The following is a 23,293-nucleotide window of genomic DNA, read 5'->3' as shown; positions in this document are numbered from 1 at the left end:
AGCTCAGCATCTCTGGGTTGGGAGAAAGGGAGGGTTCTCATTCTCTTCAATCTAAACTTCAAGGAATCAAGATTTCTAGGCAAGGGCTCCTGGATGGTGGTTCTGGGTTATAAGGGTAACTGTAAGTCTAGGGAGCAAGTTCCCTCTTGTGAGCCAGATGGAATATAATGTTCCTTTCTGTGTTTTTCCTTATTTTAAGAGTATTATTTGAAAACTCTAACCTTGTGTTTTCCTTACAAAGGGAGAAAAAGCATAGTGATGTGTCAAGTCACTGAGCTACAGAGGAAATAGCATCACTATCTTAGGAAAGTGTGTTAGTAAAGCTGGGGAAAGACCATGAGTAGCAATGAAGGCCAGATACTCTACCATACGTGCAGAGCCTGCCTCTACTATAAATCTCAGGATACTTGAGTTTTAATTTCTATGGAAGAATGAATCTGTCCAGAATTACATATTCTACATTTTCAGTGATATCTATTTAAGCAGGGCAGTTCAATGGACAGGTTTTGTATTCTAGGGTAGAAGATGAATGCTTAGTAATTTCCTATAGAATGTTAGTGGTACCATATTACATATGAATTACCTGAACATGCAAAATAAAAATTGCAGCCTCTGAGTTTTCTTGCCTGTTATACTAGTTGGCTCTGAGAGACAAATCTCATTGGATAGCCAAAGCATCTTGTATTTACCCACCTTTCCATTACTACCCTCGTAGGTTTCATAAGGAAAGCTACTTTTCTGAGCCACAGATGTGACCATATCTGCTCTTCTCCATATAGAATTAAGAGCAAGTCTGCATGGCATCACAATCGATACCCACATGAATAATACTTACAGTAAGGATTATGCCAGCCCGGAGGAGAAAGATCCTGTGCTTTCAAATTATCAGTGCATCTTACTAGATATAGATTGTTACTTTAAAAGCGTATGCTAATTATATAACAATGGAACAGAACGAAGGACTTAAACCATAATAGTGGTCTGGATAAAGTTAAAATAATGATAAGAGAGTAAAAGGTCTACACAAACTGGAAAATTTAAAATGAACACAGCCAAAATTCTGATTAAAAACTAACTTAAAATTCAAGTACTAAATCAGTTATATGCACTACTTTCATATAAATATGTTTGAAGCTATGTTTAGAAAATAAAGCTGAAAAAATCCTAGAGCAAACTATCTGAATAAATAGGTCAAATTAAGAAATACAATTTCAGCAGAAGTTATTCTAAAAAGAAACTGAGAAGATATTTTAATAAATATTCTAGTACTAATAAGTGATTTTTAATCATTAAAGGAACTGAGGTTATTCTCAGGATCTTATTGTGGAATGATTAGATTGCCAGATAACATCTTCTGGGAATAAACATGACAATGTTTTCTTTTTTCCTTCCTTATGAAACAAGAATAAACAAGTGCAAAAATTGAAAGCCAAGGACACAACAACAGGATAAAAATGAAAAATGATACTTACTGATGAATAGCTTGCAGGAATTTTCGTTGATGTTTTCTTACTTTTGCATGATCTATCTTTTTCACTAGCTTTGTATTTTTGTAAATTAGCCATGTTTCCCTGAGTACATTGGCAGCTGCATTTTTTACCTGTTAAGAGAACAAACAAAGCAGTTGATAAATTCCAGAGCAGAATCCTTTGTAACTTTGCTGGGGGTCATAGTCTTCATCCCAAGGATCATGGTGAGCTGTAGCTTCATTTAGTAACCATGACTCCAAATACCATTTTTCTTTAATCTATGCCTTTTTAGAAGTACTTGTACCTGCCTGGGAACAACACTTAAATTGAAATAGGGAGATACTACCACTTTCTTTCTGTGGTAAATTCTATCTTACTCCTTCAGGAAACTTCTTTTTTATTCAACTATTTTTTTTTTTTAATCAAGGGGTGTTGAGTTCTCCACCGTGTATTGCAATTGTTGTCTCCATGATCTTCCTTTCCCTGCAGAAAGACAAAATACCATGAGGCCAAGGTTAATCTTGTCCTTTGCAAGCCTGCTTGGTATTTCTGGCTGTGCACTACTGGAAGGGCATGTTTCCAGTGCTGAATGTATAAGTACATCCAGCACTGATAGCCTCCCAGAATGACTTAGCAATTTGTATGCTTGTTAGTATACTTTAATTAACTGACGGAGTCTACGTTATGATTTTGTTGGAAATTTAAGTACACTGTATTTCAAATGGATGGGACAAATGAGAAGGGTGAAAGCACTGCAGTAACACTGCCAAGACCTACAGCAGCTGATGAAAGGCATGGATACTTAATCTAGTCACTTGCTTTCTTGATGAAAGTCTTCAACAAATCCTGGGAGCTGATAAAGGGCCAGCAAGGGCAGATTCTGTCTTCTTCCTTGCTCACACTATGGGATCTGATGACCCACAGCTTTCACTTGGGCTTTTGGATTACTTACTATAAGAAGTTGTTCCATTTAATTCTTTTAAGTGATGGAAAAAGGATATTTCACAAAGAGAGCCACAGGTTACTGGGGTGCTAGGTGGAGGAAGATAACTTTTTAAGAAAGGCAGTGTAGTGCGGAAGACAAAACAATGAGCTGAGATTGATAACCGGGTTCTACGTACTTGACTTTGCACTAACCAAGTCAGGTTGAAGTGATTAGCTAACCTCATAGGACTGCAGTTTTCTGGAACATCAGAAAGTTAGAGATAATGAATGTTAAAGTTCTCTCAATCATTAGATTTACAATAAGGATGAGCTTTAGAATTACACTAAACTATGGGCCCAAGTTTGTATTTATATTTTTCACTTTAGCAAAGAAAACATCAGGTTTGGTAACTGATAGTGAATCTTTCTCATGGAGTGAAAAAGTTTTCTTTTTGAGCAACATTATATTGCTACAACTCATTTTAAGAAAATGGTCTTTTTACAGTAAAGCTTCTTTTAGGAGTGACTCTGGTTTGTAATGCACTGCCTTTGGATATCTATTAGACTCTGTGCATGGAGAGAATCCTCAAACCAACAGAAAAATGATTGACACAGAAGCCAAGTGCCAGCACTGCGTATAAGTAACACTACCACCATCCACAGTGAAGTTAAAAGGAGTTCGAGTAAATTCTTAGATCCATCTTCATACTTCCACTTCCTCAGACAGCCGGGAGAGCCACCTTTCAGAAGCTTTTTTCATCTGATCCTCATGTCCTTTCAAAGGTAAGGAAATGAGTGCAGCATGAGTAGTTGTTATTTGAGGACCTTGCTTTTAAGGAGAGAGGAGTGGGAAGTGACTGGCCAGCAGTCCCTGGGGTTGGAATAGCCTTTCCCTGTGAGGAAAGAGAGAGTCTCAGATCTCTAAGCAACTGTAGATACCTGGAAGATTGGCAAGGGGCCCTGATGGAGGCTCTCTCTCTGATTTTACCAGTCGAAGGCATAGAGGAGAAGCCTAGATCCCTGCCTGGTGAGGAAGCTGGAAAACCAGTTAAAAACCCTAGGTAAAAACCAATGGGTCAGAAACACAGCAATGGAACATAGCAATCCTCAATGTAGAACATAGCACTTGATTTCAATTTGTATTCCCATCTACAAACAGCAAATGCCAAATTATTTCTAAAGTCAATACGCTTTTAAAAAGGTGACCGATGCATTTTAAATGATTCCTTCTCTTGGGTATATGAAGAAAGTGGTTGAAGGGGAATACAGAATCTTAATCTCAGAGTTCAGTGGAGTGGGGGTAATGCCCTCGAGGCCTTATGTTACAGGCTTTCTATTCACTAAGCACTCATTTTAGCTGATGGGCTTAAATGAAAATGATTCCTCATCTGAAAATGAAATCCCTGCAGCTGCTTTTAAAAACTTCTAAATACAGGAATTTATTTTGAAACATCCCATCCCCTTTCTAATTCCCTAATAGGTTGTCAAATACAGGAACAAACCTCCTAAGGCATCATATTTAACTGCTACTTTTCAACATGGCAGCCACAAAACAATATGTCCCAGAATAAAAATCCCACTCTCTGCCTATTACTGAGATGTGTTTCTAATAGTAGGGTCTTCCTTTCCATCTAGGGTTGAAAAGGAACAGAGGACAGTGAGAAGACAGGGTCAAAGGCACCTCATTGTTTTCCACATTTGAACAATGGGGAGTTGGCAAAAGAAAGTGATATGTAAACTTCCAGGAAAAATGGGGAGAAATAGGTCTATGCATTCATTTTTTTTATTTATATAAATTTAGGCAGTGTAAGTGCAATTTTGCTGCATGAATACATTGTGTAGTAATGAAGCCTGGGCTTTTAGTGTAATAATCACCCAAATAGTATACATTGTACCCGTTAAGTAATTTCCTATCCCTAACCTCCCTCCCATCTTTGGAGGGAAAGTTTCCTTTGTATCCTCAGTCAAGAACCCTGCCATATAACCATCTAGTTATGTAACACTTGAATGCCCTTTTGTCCCCTTTCCAGGGCTTTCAGAAACTCTCAGGGGTCATATCACTAATCTTTGTGTCTCTCTACCTCAGTGCTTTAGGCACAGCTCGTACTAAATAAATGTCTATGGTGTTAACTGGGCACCACAGCACATATAATTTATACATAAAAACTTCTTCTCATGAACCACACTAACACGTATTTATCAACCAAAGGACCCTCTTGATAACAAGGGTATACAGATTCATATAATGGATGAATTATTGCTTCATCTAAGCTCTAAATGGATCAATGCATTTCCACTTACAAATTCAACCTACGTACTGAATCTCTACTACATGCTAGATACTGTGATAAGTGGTATGAGAGGATTTACCGATGTCCATCAAACATTTAGTAGGTATAATAATTCTATGGCCAATAAACAGGCCAAAAGACCTATGAAATAAAAGTCATTTTCTGTTTATCAAAAAATAAGTAAAGTGGGGGGAAGGATCTTTGTTAACAGGAACATCTTTACACACACACACACACACACACACACACACAGTTGAAAAATAAGAACATTTGCTCTGCCTCACTAGTAATCAACCGTAATCAAAGTCTGTCAGAAAAATGTTAGAAGACATATCAATAATTTTTATAATAATTTGAAACAGCAAAGGCTCTAAAATATATACTACTACTGGCTGGGTGCTGTGGCTCATGTTTGTAATCCCAGCACTTTGGGAGGCCGAGATGAGTGGCTCACTTGAGGTCAGGAGTTTTTGACCAGCGTGGCCAACATCTAGTGGAACCCCATCTCTACTAAAAATACAAAATTAGATGGGCGTGGTTGAGCATGCCTGTAGTCCCAGCTACTTGGGAAGCTGAGGCAGGAGAATCGCTTGAACCCAGGAGGTGGAGGTTGCAGTGAGCCGAGATCACGCTGCTGTGCTCCAGCCTGGGTGACAAAGCGACTCCGTCTCTCAAAAAAAAAAAAAAAAAAAGAAAGAAAGAAACACTACTACTACATTATTGTTAGTGGTAGTACTTACCCAGATTCCTTAAAAACAACTTTCACAAGTATACAGGCCAGGAGATATTATATTGCGACTCACGGTTAATTATAAAATAATAAAACCATGGGTAGTAAGATACAAAATATTTTTAAGTATAATAGTACTTTACAGATCACCAAAGCACTTGAGGCTGCTAGACTTTTTTTTTTTCCTTCAAATTTTATTTTAAATTCTGGGGTACATTTGCAGGATGTGCAGATATGTTATATAGGTAAACACATGCCATGGTGGTTTGCTGCACAGATCATTCCATCACCCAGCTATTAAACCCAGCGTCCATTAGCTATTCTTCCTGATGCTCTCACTCCCCCTACCCCCTCCTCCAGAAGGTTTCAGTGTGTGCTGTTCCCTCCCACCATGTGTCCATGTATTCTCATCATTCAGCTGTCACTTATAAGTCAGAACATGTAGTGTTTGATTTTCTGTTCCTGCATTAGTTTGATGAGGATAATGGATTCCAGCTCTATCCATGTCCCTGCAAAGGAGATGATCTTGTTCCTTTTTATGGCTGTATACTATTCTGTGGTATATATGTACCACATTTTCTTTATCCAGTCTATTACTGATGGGCATTTAGGTTGATTCCATGTCTTTGCTATAGTGAATAGTGCAGCAATGAACATACACATGCATATATGTTTATAATAGAATGATTTATATTCCTTTGGGTATGTACCCAGTAATGAGATTGCTGGGTCAAATGGTATTCCTGCATCTAGGTCCTTAATTGTCATCCTTAATGTCTTTCACAATGGTTGAATTAATTTATACTCCCACCAACAGTGTAAAAGCATTCCTCTTTCTCCGCAACCTGGCCAGCATCTGTTGTTTTTTGACTTTTTAATAATGGCCATTCTGATGGGTGTGAGATGGTATCTCATTGTGGTTTCCGATTTGCATTTCTCTAATGACCAGTGATGGTGAGCATTTTTTCATAAGTTTGTTGGCTGCATGGATGTTTTCTTTTAAGACGTGTCTGTTCATGTCCTTTGCCCACTTTTTAATGGGTATTTTTTTCTTGTAAATTTGTTTAAGTTCTTGTAGACTCTGGATATTACACCTTTGTCAGATGGACAGATTGCAAACATTTTCTCTCATTCTGTAGGTTGTCTGTTCACTTTGTCAATAGTTTCTTTTGCTGTGCAGAAACTCTTTAGTTTAATTAGATCCCATTTGTCAATTTTTGCTTGTTGCAATTGCTTTTGGCATTTCTGTCATAAAATCTTTGCCCGTGACTATGTCCTGAATGGTACTGCCTAGATTTTCTCCTAGGGTTTTTATAGTTTTGGGTTTTACATTTAAGTCTTTAATACACCTTGGTTAATTTTGTATAAGCTGTAAGGAAGGGGTCCAGTTTCAATTTTCTGCATATAGCTAGCCAGATCTCCCAGCATCATTTATTAAATAGGGACTCCTTTCTGCATTGCTTGTTTTTGTCAGGTTTGTTGAAGATCATGATGGTTGTAGGTGTGTGGACTTCATTTCTGTTCCATTGGTCTATGTGTCTGTTTTTGTACCAGTTTACCACGGTGTTTTAGTTACTGTAGCCCTATAATATAGTTTGAAGTTGGGTACCATGATGCCTCCAGCTTTGTTCTTTTTGCTTAGGATTGTCTTGGCAACTCCAACTCTTTTTTGGTTCCATGTAAATTTTAAAATAGTTTTTTTTCTAATTCTGTGAAGAATGGCAATGGTAGTTTAATGGGAATAGCACTGAAACTATTAAATTACTTTGGGCAGTATGGCTATTTTCATGATATTGATTGTTATCTATGAGCATGGGCAGTATGGCTATTTTCATGATATTGATTCTTATCTATGAGCAGGGAATGTTTCCCAATTTGTTTGTGTCCTTTCTGATTTCTTTGAGTAGTGGTTTGTAGTTCTCCTTGAAGAGGTCCTTCATTTCCCTTGTTAGCTGTATTCCTAAGTATTTTATTCTTTGGTAGCAATTGTGGATGGCAGTTCATTCATGATTTGGCTCTCTGCTTGCCTGTTGGTGGTGTATAGGAATGCTAGCAATTTTTGCACACTGATTTTGTATCCTGAGGCTTTGCTGAAGTTGCTTATCAGCTTAAGAAGCTTTGGGCTGAGATGTTGGGGTTTTCTAGATAAAGGATCATGTCATCTGCAAAGGTAATTTGACTTCCTCTCTTCCTATTTGAATACTCTTTCTTTCTCTTGCCTGATTACCCAGAACTTCCCATACTATGTTGAATAGGAGTGGTGAGAGAGGGCATCCTTATCTTGTGCTGGTTTTCAAGGGGAATGCTTCTGGCTTTTGCCCATTATGATACTGGCTGTGGATTTGTCATAGACGGCTCTTATTATTTTGAGGTATGTTCCTTCAGTACCTAGTTTATTGAGAGCATTTAACATGCAGGGATGTTGAATTTTTTTGATGGCCTTTTCTGCATCTATTGAGAGAACTGTGTGGTTTTTGTCCTTAGTTCTGTTATTGTGATGAATCACATTTATTGATTTGCATATGTTGAACCAATCTTGCATCCCAGGGATGAAGCCAACTTGATCATGGTGGATAAGGCTTTTGATGTGCTGCTGAATTTAGTTTGCCAGTATTTTATTGAGGATTTTTTCATCAATGTTCACCAAGGATATTGAGATATTGACTAGAAGTTTTCTTTTTTTGTTGTATCTCTGCCGGATTTTGGTATCAGGATGATGCTTGCCTCATAGAATGAGTTAGGGAGCAGTCCCTCCTTTGTGATTTTTTGGGATAGTTTCTGTAGAAATGGCACCAGCTCTTCTTCGTGCCTCTGGTAAAATTCAGTTGTGAATGTATCTGTTCCTGGGTTTTTGGTTGGTAGGCAATTTATTCCTGCCTCAATTTCAGAACTCATTATTGGTCTATTCAGGAATTCAATTTCTTCTTGGTTCGGTCGTAGGAGGGTATTATGTGTCCGGGAATTTATCCATTTCTTCTAGATTTTCTAGTTTATATGCATAGAGGTGTTTAATAGCATTCTCTGATGGTCGTCTGTATTTCTGTAGGGTCAGTGGTAATATCCCCCTTATCATAGTGTTTATTTGACTCTTTGCTCTTTTCTTCTTTGTCTATCTAGTGGTCTATCTATTTATTTTAATTTTTTCAAAGAACCAGCTCCTGGATTTGTTGATTTTTTTTTGAAGGGTTATTTGTGTCTCTGTCTTCTTCAGTTCAGCTCTGATCTTGGTTATTTCTTGTCTTCTGCTATCTTTGGGGTTTGTTTGTTCTTGGTTCTCCAGATGTTCTGTTGTAACTTGAAATCTTTCTGGCTTTTGGTGTGGGGATTTAGTGCTATAAATTTCCTTCTTAACACTGCTTTAGCTGCATCCCAGAGATTCTGCTACGTTGCCTCTTTGTTCTCATTAGTTTCAAAGAACTTCTTGATTTCTGCCTTAATTTCATTATCTACCCAAGAGTCATTCAGGAGCCGGCTGTTCAATTTCCATGTAGTTGTGGTGTGGTTTTGAGTGAAATTCTTGATCTTGTGTTCTAATTTGATTGCACTGTGGTCTGAGACTGTTTGTTATGATTTCAGTTCTTTTGCATTTGCTGAGGAGTGTTATACTTCTGATTATGTCACCAATTTTACATTAAGTGCCACATAGCGATCAGAACAATGTGTATTCTGTTGCTATCAGGTCCACTCGATCCAAAGCTGAGTTCAGGTTCTGAATATCTCTGTTACAATTTTCTGTCTCAATTATCTAATACTGACAGTGAGGTATTAAAGTCTCCTATTATTGTGTGGAAGTCAATGTCTCTTTGTAGGTCCCTAAGTACTTGCTTTATGAATCTGGGTGTTCCTGTATTGGGTGCATATATATTTAGAATAGTTAACTCTTTTGTTGAATTGAACCCTTTACCATTATGTAATGCTCTTCATCTTTTTTTAATCTTTGTTGGTTTGAAGTCTCTTTTGTCAGGAACTAGGATTTCCACCCCTGTTTTGTTTTTCTTTTTTTTTTTTTATAGTTTTCATTTGGTTGGTAAATTTTCCTCCATCCCTTTATTTTGAGCCTATGTGTGTGTCTGCACATGAGAGGGTCTCTTGAAGACAGCACACTGATGGGTCTTGGCTCTTTATCCAGCTTGCCATTCTGTGTCTTTTAATTGTGGCATTCAGCCTATTTAAATTTAAGGTTACTATTGCTCTGTGTGAATTTGATCCTGTCATCATGATGCTAGCTGGTTATTTTGAAGAGTTGCTTATTTGGTTGCTTCATAGTGTCAGTGGTCTATGTACTTTGGTATGTTTTTGTAGTGGGTGGTAACGGCTTTTCCTTTCCATATTTAGTGCTTCCTTCAGGAGATCTTGAAAGGCAGGCCTGGTGGTGATGAATTCCCTCAGCATTTGCTTGTCTGGAAAGGATCTTATATTCTCCTTCACTTACGAAGCTTAGTTTGGCCAGATAACGAAATTCTAGGTTGGAAATTCTTTAAGAATGTTGAATATGGGCCCCCAGTCTCTTCTGCCTTGTAGGATTTCTGCTGAGGGGTCTACTGTTAGTCAGACGGGTTTTATTTCATAAGTGATCTGGCCTTTCTCTCTGGCTTCCCTTAACTTTTTTTTCTTGCATTTTGACCTTGGAGAATCTGATGATTTTGTGTCTTGGGGGTTGACCTTCTTGTGGAGTACCTTACTGGAGATCTCTGCATTTCCTGAATTTGAATGTTGGCCTGTCTTGCTAGGCTGAGGAAATTCTCCTGGATGATATCCGGAAGTATGTTTTCCAACTTAGTACCATACTCCCCATCTCTTTCAGGTACCCCAATCAGTTGTATGTTTGATCTCTTTACATAATCCCATATTCTCGGAGGTTTTGTTCACTCTTTTTCATTCATTCTTTTCATTAAAACTTTGCTTTGTTCAAACCTATAGCATATAGGTAATGACAACATAGTTTAAAAGGCTATTTTGGATCTTCATTTTCAACTTCCATTTCTTTGTTGTTGTTTTTTTCTCCTGCTGCTTTCTCAGAGGCTTTTTTAGCATAACACTTCCACTCCTCGCCAATTCAAGGGGAATGCACCAGGGTGCCATATGCTCTCAACCACCCTTGCAGCAGCAGGGATAGATTTGTTCATGCTCCAACCTCTCTCTCCAGTTTTCCTTTAGGTCAGGTGTATGAGGCCTGGGTGAATGTTGTAGCTGTGGAACAGGGCATAGCCAAGTGATTCATTTTAATGTGTTAACCCCCTGGGCTGTGAGCCAAGGACAATGTGAAATAAATCCTTTAGAATTTCTGTTCCCTTGTTAAGAGACATACAGGAAACAAAATTATATAACTGCATAATAGTGTTCTTATTATGGATCTGATTGAGAATTCTTAACAGATTAACAACACCCACAGTGGACATTAATATGTATAATTATCCTTTGTGGGGTATCTAGCAACTTTAAAAATTATGTCTGGGTTTTGGAATTGCTTGTTTTCAAGTTTCTTTTCCAAAAAGGTATTCTGGGGATCAAACTACAAGATTTCCTGTTTGCTCAGAATGGAATGAGCAGTAATAATAATATATTTCCAAAAGATATTGCATGGTAAATATATTGCCCCTGTAAGGTGATAAACTGTAAATCTATTAAATAGCTGGTCCTGTCTTACTAAACTAGGAGACAAGGTAATGGTATTATGTTTTCACTTCAAAATCATTAGTTTGTTCTGGACACATGTACCTGTCGGCCATTTTTGAATTGCAGAATGTCATGTAAATATTTAGGATTAGACAAAACAATCTTCTCAGTGCTGATGTACAATAAATAGTATTCTACTTTCAAATACAGTATTTTACTTGGTTAATGTAGTCATACAGAGAAACAACTTTTATATAAAATTGTTCCCCTGAAAATCTGTACATAGTGAATAATTTTTCACAGAAATTGTTCAGTTCACTAAAGATACAAACTGGAAGACTTGGAATGTTACATCTGTTCCTGGGAGAACAGACTATCTTTTAACATTCATATTGCTTTTTTCTTTAGAGTCATATTCAGATTTCAGAACATCTGTGACTATTACTCCTGTTAACCATCAGAAAAAATGATTTCTTTCTAGATAATGTTTCAGGGAATAGTTGTATTTTTCTCTAACAATATGTAGTAACCTTGAGTTTGTATCTTAGTTACTAGGTATGGTTTTTAGATCTCTATTTACTTTTAATTATTCACAAATCATTCAGCATTTTAGAATTATTTTAAAAGTTTAAAGTTTATACTCATTTATATGAGTCCATTTGGAATTTCCATAAATAAGCAAATGGAATCAAATTCCAAGTAAATGATACTCATTAAGTTGATGACTTTGTATAAAATAATGAGAGGACTATAAAATGGCTATTATTTGCCTATACCTTGTTGAGTATATATAATACAGGAATGGGTATTATAAACCAGCAATCTGTTTTCTTCTAGTGTCATTTTAACATTAATATCTTTATTTAGTGACATCTTGGATGTCACTAAATGGATCTGTCGGCCAGGTGCGGTGGCTCACGCCTGTAATCCCAGCACTTTGGGAGGCTAAGGCAGGCGGATCACCTGAGGTCGGGAGTTCCAGACCAGCCTGACCAACATGGAGAAACCCCCATCTCCACTAAAAATACAAAAAATTAGCTGGGCATGGTGGTGCATGCCTGTAATCCCAGCTATTTGGGGGGCTGAGGCAGGAGAATCACTTGAATCCAGGAGGTGGAGGTTGCGCCACTGTACTGCAGCCTGGGCAACAAGAGCAAAACTCCATCTCCAAAAAAAAAAAAAAATGGATCTGTCAGCAAGCCTACTAGAGTATATTTCTCAGACCTATAAGAGACTCCGGTCTCAAGAGACTCCAGTCTCAAGAAATACTGCAAAGTAGTTCTACTTTTAAAAAGTAGTAATGAACTCATCATTTTTTATGGCTGCATAGTATTCCATGGTGTATATGTGCCACATTTTCTTAATCCAGTCTATCATTGTTGGACATGGACACAGGAAGGGGAATATCACACTCTGGGGACTGTGGTGGGGTGGGGGGAGGGATAGCATTGGGAGATATACCTAATGCTAGATGACGAGTTAGTGGGTGCAGCGCACCAGCATGGCACATGTATACATATGTAACTAACCTGCACAATGTGCACATGTACCCTAAAACTTAAAGTATAATTTAAAAAAAAAAGTAGTAATGAAATAACAGAATTATTAAAGCATGGTAAGTATTATATAAAATGTAAAATTTGAAACCAGAACAGTACTTAATGAAAAAGCTTTCAACAGGCAATAAGTTGACAATTCAGGCAACATTATCCAAAGGAAGTTTAAAGTATACAAGAACTTACAACAAAAAAGCTGTAGCATCATCAGAAAACTTTGTCAGTTTGGGAAGATGCTTTTCATTCATAAAAACTGAAGGAGGGTCACCAAAATCCATAGATCTAGATCCTGGATCCATAGTTCTCTAAAGGGGCCTCTGACCGGACTTTAGGGGACCCATGAGCACAAGCACACGTGCATTTTTCTGCCAAGCAGGAAGCATCTGAGATTTCGTCTGATTTTCTGAGTGGTCAGTACTGGAAAAGCTTAAAATCTTTGGAATACTCGAATGTGATTCTTTAGCTCTTGATCCTTAACAGTTAACATAGCATGACAACCATATTTAGTATACAGTATATTTTTTATATGTTATTCCAAAAAAGGAAATTACAATATATTCAGTAGACTCAGTATCTTTTAAGAGAGACTGTCCTTTCTAAGATGTCAAATCCTTGTGGAACAGCACATTAAAAGGTGGTTCTCTCCTGCAGGTGATTTTGTCTCTTGAGGGATTTCTGGTTGTCACAAGTTGGGGGTAGTGCTACTGGCATCTAGTGTGTAGAAGTCAAGTATGGTGAGAAACATCCAGAACACACAGGACAGTCCCACATGAAAAAGAATTATTCAGCCAAAAAAGTCACGAGTGCCAAGGTTGAGAGGCCCTGGAATACAGCAACTACACTATAAAACCAACTTGGAATGTCTCCCAAATGAAACTGGTTGACCTCGGTGAACTTCATAAAAAAATTTTTATCAAAGGTGGTAGATGGCAGTGTGATACTGTAAATTTTGTACTCAAAGTCTTTGTCTTTTCTAACTCTTTGTCTTTTCTAACTCTTAAAATGTTTTAATAATTAAGATATGGAATATCAATATTCCAAAGTAATATTTAGAGAAACTATATGCTTCCTTCTTAAGATGAAATTAAAATCTGCTTATGAAACATGGAGAAGTCTGCCCAAACATGCTAACTTGGCTTTCTTATTTGTGATTCTGTCACTTTTTTTTTTTCTGTTAAGATTTACAGGCAAACATATGGGCGACATGGTATTTTAAGGTATTTTTCTCCCTAATATCTTAAGTGTGGCATTAACTTAATTCCTGAGGAAATGTATAATCTTCATGGTAAAATAATATGGATTACAAGGGTCTTAATGCAAGTGTTCTTTTGAATATTATAAAACTTGTGACTCTTAAACACAAATTGTCCCAGCATAGAGCCCTGAAAGGACCAAACATGCACATGATGAAATACACAAAACATCTGCTCCAATTTATGGATTAGATGTAGTCTAATCTCATATGCACATATTTTTATCTCTAGTAGATCTTTAAAAAGTAAAAGAAACCCAAGCCTTTATTCAGCTCCTCATTGACCTTTTTCCCTGCACACTCTCATACAGGGATGTTCACAAGTTTTGAGAACAAATTTAGGAGTTTGAAGAAAATGAGAGTAAGTCATGGAGAGTAGAAGACATTCCAAAGTGGTAAATGTAGGCTGAAAATGTAGCATCTGAACCTGGGAGGCTCTGACCATCTACTATAAACGTGGACCTACTAACTGCAATGAAGTATCACAGGACTGTCTGATAGGTAAGACTTAGCATGAGCAGGCAATAGCAATTCATGTTTTCATTTCCTAAGTATAATCTATATAAATATATATTTGCATTAAAATGACTGGCCTGTTAGGAAGTATCAACCAAATTAAACAAGATTACTTTTAAATATACAACCAAAATCAAGAGTGAGTGAAAACACTACTGGAAGTTGGAACTATGCTTGAAATATCTATTGATTCATTTATGGGTAAAGTTACCAAGTTGACAATGTATTTTGTTATTTCACTGACAGCCTGATTGCATTCCACATTGAGCAGTAGTTACACAGCAAGATGACTCTACTATAAAATAATTTTTTGACTTTGGTATTTGTCTCAAGTGACTATCAAGAAAGGCTAAAAATTTAGTCTAATAAAAACCTTTCTCTTCTTGCAGTTTTCTACCTGGATCTGGTGACTTTGAGCAAGTTACCTAACCCCTTTGTGTCTTAGTTTCCACATTTATAAAATGGCCAGAATAATAGCACTTCCCTCATAACGCTGTTATGAGGATGAAGTGAGTTTATACACATGGCACACTTGGAACAGTGCCTGGCACAGAAAGTGCTCTTAAACATTGTGATTACTGTTTTCTTCTGCTAATATTTGGACAGCGATTGCCCAACTGGATGGTATACTATTTTTAACATCTCTTTTATGGCCTGTAAGTCAAGGAAAGAGCCTGTTTCTGGCCCTATCTTGGGCTTCTAAAAGTTAGTGGTGGTTTCTTTTGTCTTTGCAACCCTGTCTTGAGAACAGTGACTTGATCTTAGAAGTTCAGTAAAACATTTTCAATCACGTTTCCATCAAATTACTATTTTACATTAATAGTATTTTCCTTCCTACTCAATCCAAGAATTGGCCTCATATACTATACTGAAATCTAAACAAGTAGGCATACCTAACATTTATGTGACTCGTCTTTATCCAAATACCAAGACTGCCCAATTACTTCCTAACTGACCTCAAGGTAGAAATAGTCTATTCTCAAAATGTGATAAAATGGAAGTGATTCCAAGAATGCCTATACTTTCAAACCATGTCATTTCAGCTTCGGATGTCAAAATAAAAACCATATTTCCTAACACTGAAAAAATCACAATAATATTCTCTTTGAAGATATATGGATAGTAACTTACTCTTTTAGTCAGCTGAGTATCCATCATGAAATTGTGCACGTGTTTTTCTGCTTTGGTAAGTTCTAGCTTCCTTGCCACTACAGCTACCACCAGGGCTGTGCAACCAGCACCCTGAAAACAAGGAGAGAAGAGAAACCCAAAGCATTACTAACTACTTTCTGTCTCAGACACATTAGAAAATGTTTTGCATCAAATGCAAAAGTTTCTCAGGATTAAAAACATTGTCTTCAATAAGTATTACAGAAAATGTGTGATCAACACATGTAAGCAATGTGCCTTAAACTGGGATTAAAAATTTAGTTTACATATTTTAAGAACAAAAGCATATTTGGAAAAAACATTTCCATTCTAAGAAATAAATGGCCTAAAAGCAACTTGGTGAATTTTTGGAGACTTTTTAAAAAACAGAGCAAGTCAGTTATATACCTATAATTATAATAGGAACAAATAACAAATGAGTAGATTAGCATAAATGTATATGGGGTAGAAATAAGGATTTTTCCATACAGAATAAACCTCTAATCTTAAGATGAGATCAGCAGGCCTTCAAGGTGATCAACTGCAATGCACCAGGAATAAAAACAATAAATTATCTCAGCATATACACTGCTTCAGTGTTCCACACACACAAGAGGAAGCGTAACAGGAAGATCACAGTGATCTTAACCTGGGCAACAGAGATAGATGAAGTACTGAAGGTAAGGGGTAACCATTATACCATTTTACAGGTTTACTAACATGACACTAGGAAAGGCACGGGTCATCTTCATTTTGAAAAAACCAACAGTGTTCCTTTTTGAATTACAGACCATTGTTCTGATCTCTTGAAAAAGAGACTCTGTGTGGTACTCTAAGAATTACAGTCCTCCCGCTCCGTGATCAAGGTGTGCTCATTCCAAGTTGTGAGAGTCTTCTGTGCTGAAAGACGAGCAACTACTTGCTGGGGCACCGATTGGAGGGTCCAGGCAAGGTCAAGGTGCTGCAGCCAATTCATCAGTCCTGGGCACAGCCAACCTCCCAGCAGGGAAGGGGGCATGTGAGGAACTACCTCAGGGGTCTGTGAAAGGGAAGTCACACCTCCAGATAGAATCTCAACCCTGAGAGGACCACAGAACCATAGACATTGCCCAGCTAGTCTCAACAAACAGATAACAATGTAAATGGCAGGGCACAGGCAGAGTCCGCTAGACAGAGGCACAGAAAGTAGATGTGATTTAGCTATTCAGTTATAGACCAAAGAATCCATCTTTGGGCTTACTCAATGAGTTGCTGCAACAAATCTGGCAGGAGGGACACGATTGAGGAGAAAAGGAGAAAATAAATACACGACCTGATCATTATGATCATGGAAACATTGCCACAATGATGAGCCAATACTGCTTTAATATATTTCCAGAGGGCTTAAATAGCCTGTTCCATCTAGTTCTATGAAGAAATCAGTATCCTCAGAAAGAAAGTGCTACTGATCACATGATCAGAGAAAGAGGTTGCCAAGTATTTAGACATTCTGATTTAGCCTTCTGATTTTAGAGATGAGACAACTAAAGCAGAGTAAATGATTATTCAGTTATAAACTTTGATTAGCATTGATATTTTTCCTACTCTTTACTTCATCTCATAATATCTATATCTATATTTAGGATCACATACACTTGAATCTCTATATCCATGGGTTCCGTATACATGAATTCAACTGGATTGAAAATATTTCAGTAAAAAAATGGATGGCTGCACCTGTACTGAACATTATAGACCGTTTTCTTTTGTAATTATTCTTTAAACAATAACAATACTGTTTAGCAACTATTTGCAGAGCATTTATATTGTATTAAAAGTATTATAAGTAATCTAGAGATTAAAGTACACAGGAGGATGTACCTAGGTTACATGCAAGTAATACACTATTTTATAAAGGACTTGAGCATCCGTGAATTTTGGTATTCATGGCAGGAAGTGGGGTTCTGGAACTGAACCCCCATGGATACTAAGGGATGACTGTATATTCTTATTTGTGATTATTCCATAGCCATAATGCATTATGAAGCACTGTATTTCAAAGCAAGACAGGAAATTCAAATTCACCTATTTTATATGATAAAGTATGAATGTCTAAAAATCAAGCAATATGATTATCAAAATAATCAACATTGTCCCTATTGTGTAACTGGTATAACTTTTAAATTGGTAGTTTTTAACCTTGACTATAGAATCACTTGGAGAGTTTGTAAAAATCCTAGTGCTGAGAGCTGTGTGCCTCACAGCAAATCTTCATCTCCAGGGATAAAACCCAGGTGTCTGAAATTTTTTAAAAGCTCTCCAGGTGATCCCAAGGTATAGTCACTGCTTTAGATAAAGGAGGATATGCAGTGACTATGACAAACTCCATAAACCTATTAAAACAAGAGGGTCAAAATTCTTATAAGAGTCATTTGACTGACTTATGAAGACACGATAAACAAGGAAAGTAAAGGCAGAGGGTGTGATGTTATTTTGATATTTTGTGCCATATGCAGACAATGAAAGCGAGGTATTTTAGATCTGGGTACTAATGAAAGAAAAGAATGGCCTTTGGAAGCATCTCTACCCATTTTACTGACTTTCAAACATCTACCATGAAGTCTAAAGAAAGAGTTCTAGCAGGCTGATGAAACCAAATCAGTGACCACCTATGATAACCACCATAAAGCTACCTGCTGTATGGTATAGCGTATGCTCGACAAACACAGGCTAGCCTTTTGTAGATATGCTCCTAGGTACTACTCCTCAATCACTGGGTTCTACAGGAACTTGGTGGTTCAGGGCAGCAATGATTCTTTAATAAGCAGAGGTCATAAAAACCTGAGGGGTTCCTAACTACTGCAGAGACAGCTATGAGAGGGTAGTTGGCATAAAAAGTTGAATATTGTTCTCCCCTGGCAGGTGGCCTCTGCTGAGATCTTTCTGGAAAGAAATCAAAATCCTAACAGGAGTGGAAAATCACTGGAATCAAGAGCCTTGGAAAGTGGATTTTTATTTGTGTTTATTCTCAGGCTCCATTCTTTTCTGCTACTGGCCCATTTCTCACCGGGTGTCATCTAAGACATGCATTAAAAATGAGTACCTCTGTTGCAAAGTGGAAAAGAAATTAATCCAATCATTTAGTAATTATCAAAACTATTATCTATATACCTCACTCCATTATCCTAACACTACTCCTTTAAGTTATACCTCCAGAGCCACTTAGAAACCTTTTTGTTCAAATACAAACCCCTTAACTGTTTATTTTAGTGAAGAAAACCATAAACTTATACTTCCCTAGATTAATAAATCGTAAGAGAATCTGATGAAAGTAACCTTTATTTTTTAATTTTTAGAGTTATGCAAGATGAAGCTGGCTCACTTCCGAAAGCTTTCTAGGTTCAAGGTAAATTCCTGCCAACATATTCATGGTTATAGTAATTTAAGTAATGGCATAATATTATTGTCCACCCAGTGTCTATTTCCAGGACGATTCCGTTTCATAAAGTGAATAAGAATGGAAATAAGTACGATTTTACAACATTTTCTCCAAAGCTTGTCACCACCACAATCGATGTAGAAACAGTTGGGACTAACATATGTTACTCTCTGAAATTAAGATCCCTGTATGCATTTAACAAGATGAGTCATATTCCTTTCACCAAAGTCAGAAAATGTATCCTGGTTACTTTTCTCTCATTTCATTTATCTTCTTAGAAAAAACTTAAGCAAAATCACTAACCTGTCACTTCAAGATGCTTGGGCATTTAAAAACAAAATGAAGAAAATACAGTGTATTTAGGAAGTCAATATATTAAAAGCAAAGGTTCAGGTTTCGCTTGGCTTGTTTATCATCTTTCCTTCTAACAGAGAAGATGGTGAAAGAGAGAAAAAGGGATAAGTTAAGGGGGGCAGAGGGAGAAGGACTTTGCTTTAGAAAAGGTAAGTAATGACAAGTGTTGTTAACGTTTACTACCCTAAGCCAAGCCAGATTAAACTGAACAGACAAATGACAATTAGTTACTATTACCTATGTACCTCTAGGGAAATCCCAACACGTGGATAGTCTTAGATGCTGCCAAGTTAAAATTAAAATGTAGTGTTTTTCTCCACTGTATTCTTCTCCATTATAGCGCAGAAACTGTAAGCCATGTTGAGCCCTTGGATGTAAAAGAAGTTCAGGTATCCCATTTCCCTCAAAAGCATGTATCACATAATATTTGAAAAATTAAAATGTGACACATTTTTGCCCTAAATCATCTACTTATGCTGATCCTGCAAATACTTCCAAGAATCATTTTGAAAAACCATTTTGGGATCAAGCTTTAATAACAAGGATACAAGCCTATGAAAAAGAGAAATTCCTTCACATAACACACTGTGGAAAGGTTTTGATTATTTCAACTGTGAAAAAGACATCTTCAAAAGATTCAACATAATAATGAAATTTATACTTTTTAAACAAATTCCAGAATTTTTACTGCTACAGAGAATGGCTCTGATAAAAAACACTAATGTTCAAAATATTCTAGGCTTAAAGTATCCTCCTGTGGGATTTATAATAGCTCCTGCTCCTCAAAGTTCAAAATTCAGTTTGACAGCCAGTTTATTAGACTAAATAGACTATTAGCCTATAATTAAAATTTATCCAAAATAGTTAACTTGAAAAAAAATCACGCTTTTATGTAAAAATAAAACAGCTTTAAGATCTTTCACAAATCAGCTTGCCCTCCAAAAGGAAGGTAAAACAAATACTTGAACACATTGCCTGTTTTTCTGTCCCTGGGGCTGACTGACTCAATGTGCCAGAACCATAAAAACATTTTTACTATACTTGACTGACATAAATAATTATTCTTTCATAAAAACATGTGAAACAATCAATTCTGGCAAGTAACATTTTATAAAGCACTCTGCTTTAATATTATATCCCATTGGAGTTTTACAAGGTTTCCTCAGGTCATGAAAATAAATAAGTTTCAAGGAAGTTTTGATGACAAATTCTATCAAAAATGCCCTCTAAGTGTCTTCAAATACAAGTTGATATTTGCTACTAAGGGTGGAGGTCAATTTCAAATGTCCTCATTGTAAGAAAAGAGGGGAGAGTGTGTGGTGTTTGAGCCCAGTTATTAAGCCTGGGCCTGGGCAACCCGAGCCTCCTTTATAGTGATTTGCTTGTTCAGGTCATTCTTCTACTTTTAGGGTCAGAAAGAAGGAAGTACCTCATAAAACTGGTCATCAACAATGAATCATCCCTCGGTTTAAATCTCCTGATTAGCAACAGTGCCAGTGTGAGTGCAGGTACTTCAGAGATAGGAAGGGCAGCTCTGCCAATTAAAAGTGCTGATAGTTTAGAAAAATTGGGTGAAATTGTGGAGTCCATGAGCTGTGTGCTAAAAGGTCACAACAACTTCCACCTATACTTTCCTGTACCCGGAAGACGGCAGCTGTCATATTTAAGACATTTTTTTGCGATCCACTTATGAAATTTCTTGGTGGGAAGTGAAGGTCCTCAAGAAAGGACATTGGTGGGGAATTTAGCCTTATGACTGAAAAGGCCCATCTCCTCCAGCTGCTCTGCACAAAATAGAAACTATTGTATGTAAGAACTTAAAGATATACTCTCTTCACTGGGGCTTTATCTGATGAGATTCAGTGAACGCACCAGAAAGAACCAAAAAGCAAGCAATACAAAAGTTAAAACCTCTTCAAAATTAAACACCCAATGTCAAATTGTGTAAGACATTTTTAAAAATCCTTGAGTGTTTTGCACATTCTCAAACATTCAACACTAAGGAATGGCTTCAGATCAGTTTTGCAGGATTTCTATGTACACTGGCGGGGGAAAACAAATCCTCAAATGGAAACAGAGAGTGTTACAGGAAGAGGAGTATAATCAGACCTTAGGTTTCGCATTCTTTCATACCAATCACTTCTTTTTTATGAGCTCTAGCTAATTCGTGCTGTTTTGGAACACCCTCTTAGCGACTTAACAGGGTAGTGTTTTTGCTCTTCAGGATGCAAACTGTTTGTTTAACTGACAACTAATGGAGTCACCATGTGATGTTAAATTAAGATTTCCTCGGCACAGGGCAAATTTAACGTGGAAAGGATTATTATCAAATCTTAAGGAAAAGGCAAGGCTGTGTAAAGGCTTCTGTCCTGAACTGACTTGTTTTTTTGCTCCTTGAAGAAAATTTTAAAATTTAATTAGCGTAGTGATTTTCAAATTGCTATGAACTGCGAAAGCTTTACGCATTGCTTTTGTTTACATAGAACTACTAGTGGGATGGAAGAAACCTAAATCACTGATATCTGAAGTGTCCTCAGTTTTGTTGAGGGAGTCATGCTAGATGTTGTCAAAGTCTAGTGGTTTATAAATCACTATTAGAGAACCATTTATTGAATAACAACCTGCATCCCTAGGAATGAACAGATATTACTCGATATTTAAAGATAATTAAACCAAAAAATCCAGTCATCCATACTCTAGTCAAAAGGCCACCAAGAGTCACTGTAATTTTACAGAAATAGAGAAGCAAAAAGAACAAATGAGCAACCTTAATTCCAGTATAAGATGAAAGATACCCTTACCCACAAGGCTATTTTTCACTCTTGAAACAATCATATATATTCATAGTTGTGGGAGAATTCATAGCTTTCAGGATGTGTTTTATATATATATATATATATTTCTAGGAAGATAAAATAACTTTGTAAATGCTAAGTAAAACAATTACTTTATTGGAAAATTGGAGACATTGAGAAACTAGCTGGTGCTGTCCAAAAGCTGATAGACACTGTGATCTAACCATATTACTTGCCTACCATCTTCAACCAAAAGTACAAAGCTACTCAGAAATCATCCCATTGTTTATCATGACCTTTACAATAGTAAACCCTCAGGTCTTCAGTACTTCCTCAAATAGCAGAAGGGTAGAAGAATAAAAAGAGAAAATAAGTAATTACAACCATAATGGTTTTCTCTTGAAGGGTAGTGAGTGGTTTTCTTTTATTTCTTCTATTAGGCAATCTCATGACTTATTTTATAAAAATAATAATAAGAGATCTTGGTCTCTTAAGCTTTAATTCCCATATTGGTCTTGGTAATGAAGAAATTTCTACATTCTCCATAGGAGTGTCTAGGTCACTTTCATCCATATGCTCTTGATCCCTAAGGAGCTGATGTAAGATGTAATCAACTGCCAGAAGTGAATCCCAGGAAGACTGCCCCGTAGCCTGACTCCATGGGAATCTGCTTAGTCTAGAAGAAGAGATAATCCAACTCTACAGAGCATCTCAAATATGTTACTCAAATATTAGTGAATTTCTCTGTATGCAAGTAAACCAATTTTGATCAAGTCAATTAATTAGGAAATAAGTCTGATCCTTATGAAGGAGAGGGAATGGAGCTCCTCAGCCTAAGAATAGAGGGACTCTTTTACCATAAGCTTAAGGGCTGGAACGAAGTCACCATAAATTCCATTACATATAACATTTTTGTGTCCACATATATTTAATGGTACTATAACCTCTCTCTTTTTTTTTTTTTGAGATGATGGAGTTTCACTCTTGTTGCCCAGGCTAGAGTGCCATGGCGCAATCTCGGCTCACTGCAACCTCCGCCTCCCACGTTCAAGAGATTCTCCTGCCTCAGCCTCCTGAATAGCTGGGATTATAGGCATGTGCCACCACACCTGGCTAATTCTGTATTTTTAGTAGAGAGGGGGTTTCTCCATGTTGGTCAGGTTGGTCTCGAACTCCCAACCTCAGGTGATCCACCTGCCTCGGCCTCCCAAAGTGTTGGGATT

The 23,293-nt window shown here is 37.0% G+C and overlaps 1 protein-coding gene and 1 long non-coding RNA gene across 9 annotated transcripts in view; one reads left to right on the top strand and one right to left on the bottom strand.

The window, feature by feature from the left end:
• The window catches only part of KCNN2 (potassium calcium-activated channel subfamily N member 2), a 440,519-nt gene that overhangs the window by 7,847 nt on the left and 409,379 nt on the right, over positions 1-23,293 (bottom strand). For 7 of the 8 annotated variants that reach the window (NR_174097.1, XM_047417166.1, NM_001372233.1 and 4 more), the window contains 2 exons: positions 15,486-15,596; positions 1,473-1,600 (listed from right to left, as the gene is read on the bottom strand). Coding sequence is in view for 6 of the 8 variants with exons in the window: in XM_047417166.1 (XP_047273122.1) it covers positions 1,473-1,600; positions 15,486-15,596 (239 nt within the window). In the remaining 2 variants the exon portion in view is untranslated. Of the gene's footprint in view, positions 1-1,472; positions 1,601-1,846; positions 1,953-15,485; positions 15,597-23,293 lie in introns of all 8 variants that reach the window. The other variant, NR_103458.2, reaches the window with a different exon arrangement.
• Positions 1-23,293, top strand: part of LOC101927078 (uncharacterized) — a 325,996-nt gene that overhangs the window by 284,764 nt on the left and 17,939 nt on the right. The window contains exons 6-11 of the long non-coding RNA NR_130785.1: positions 2,958-3,176; positions 13,238-13,505; positions 14,150-14,339; positions 16,293-16,461; positions 18,405-18,482; positions 18,839-18,888. This is a non-coding gene — a long non-coding RNA (uncharacterized LOC101927078). The remainder of the gene's footprint in view (positions 1-2,957; positions 3,177-13,237; positions 13,506-14,149; positions 14,340-16,292; positions 16,462-18,404; positions 18,483-18,838; positions 18,889-23,293) is intronic.

This window comes from Homo sapiens, chromosome 5, assembly GCF_000001405.40.
Source record: "Homo sapiens chromosome 5, GRCh38.p14 Primary Assembly".
NCBI lineage: Eukaryota > Metazoa > Chordata > Mammalia > Primates > Hominidae > Homo > Homo sapiens.
This window is presented reverse-complemented; position numbering and strand designations above follow the sequence as displayed.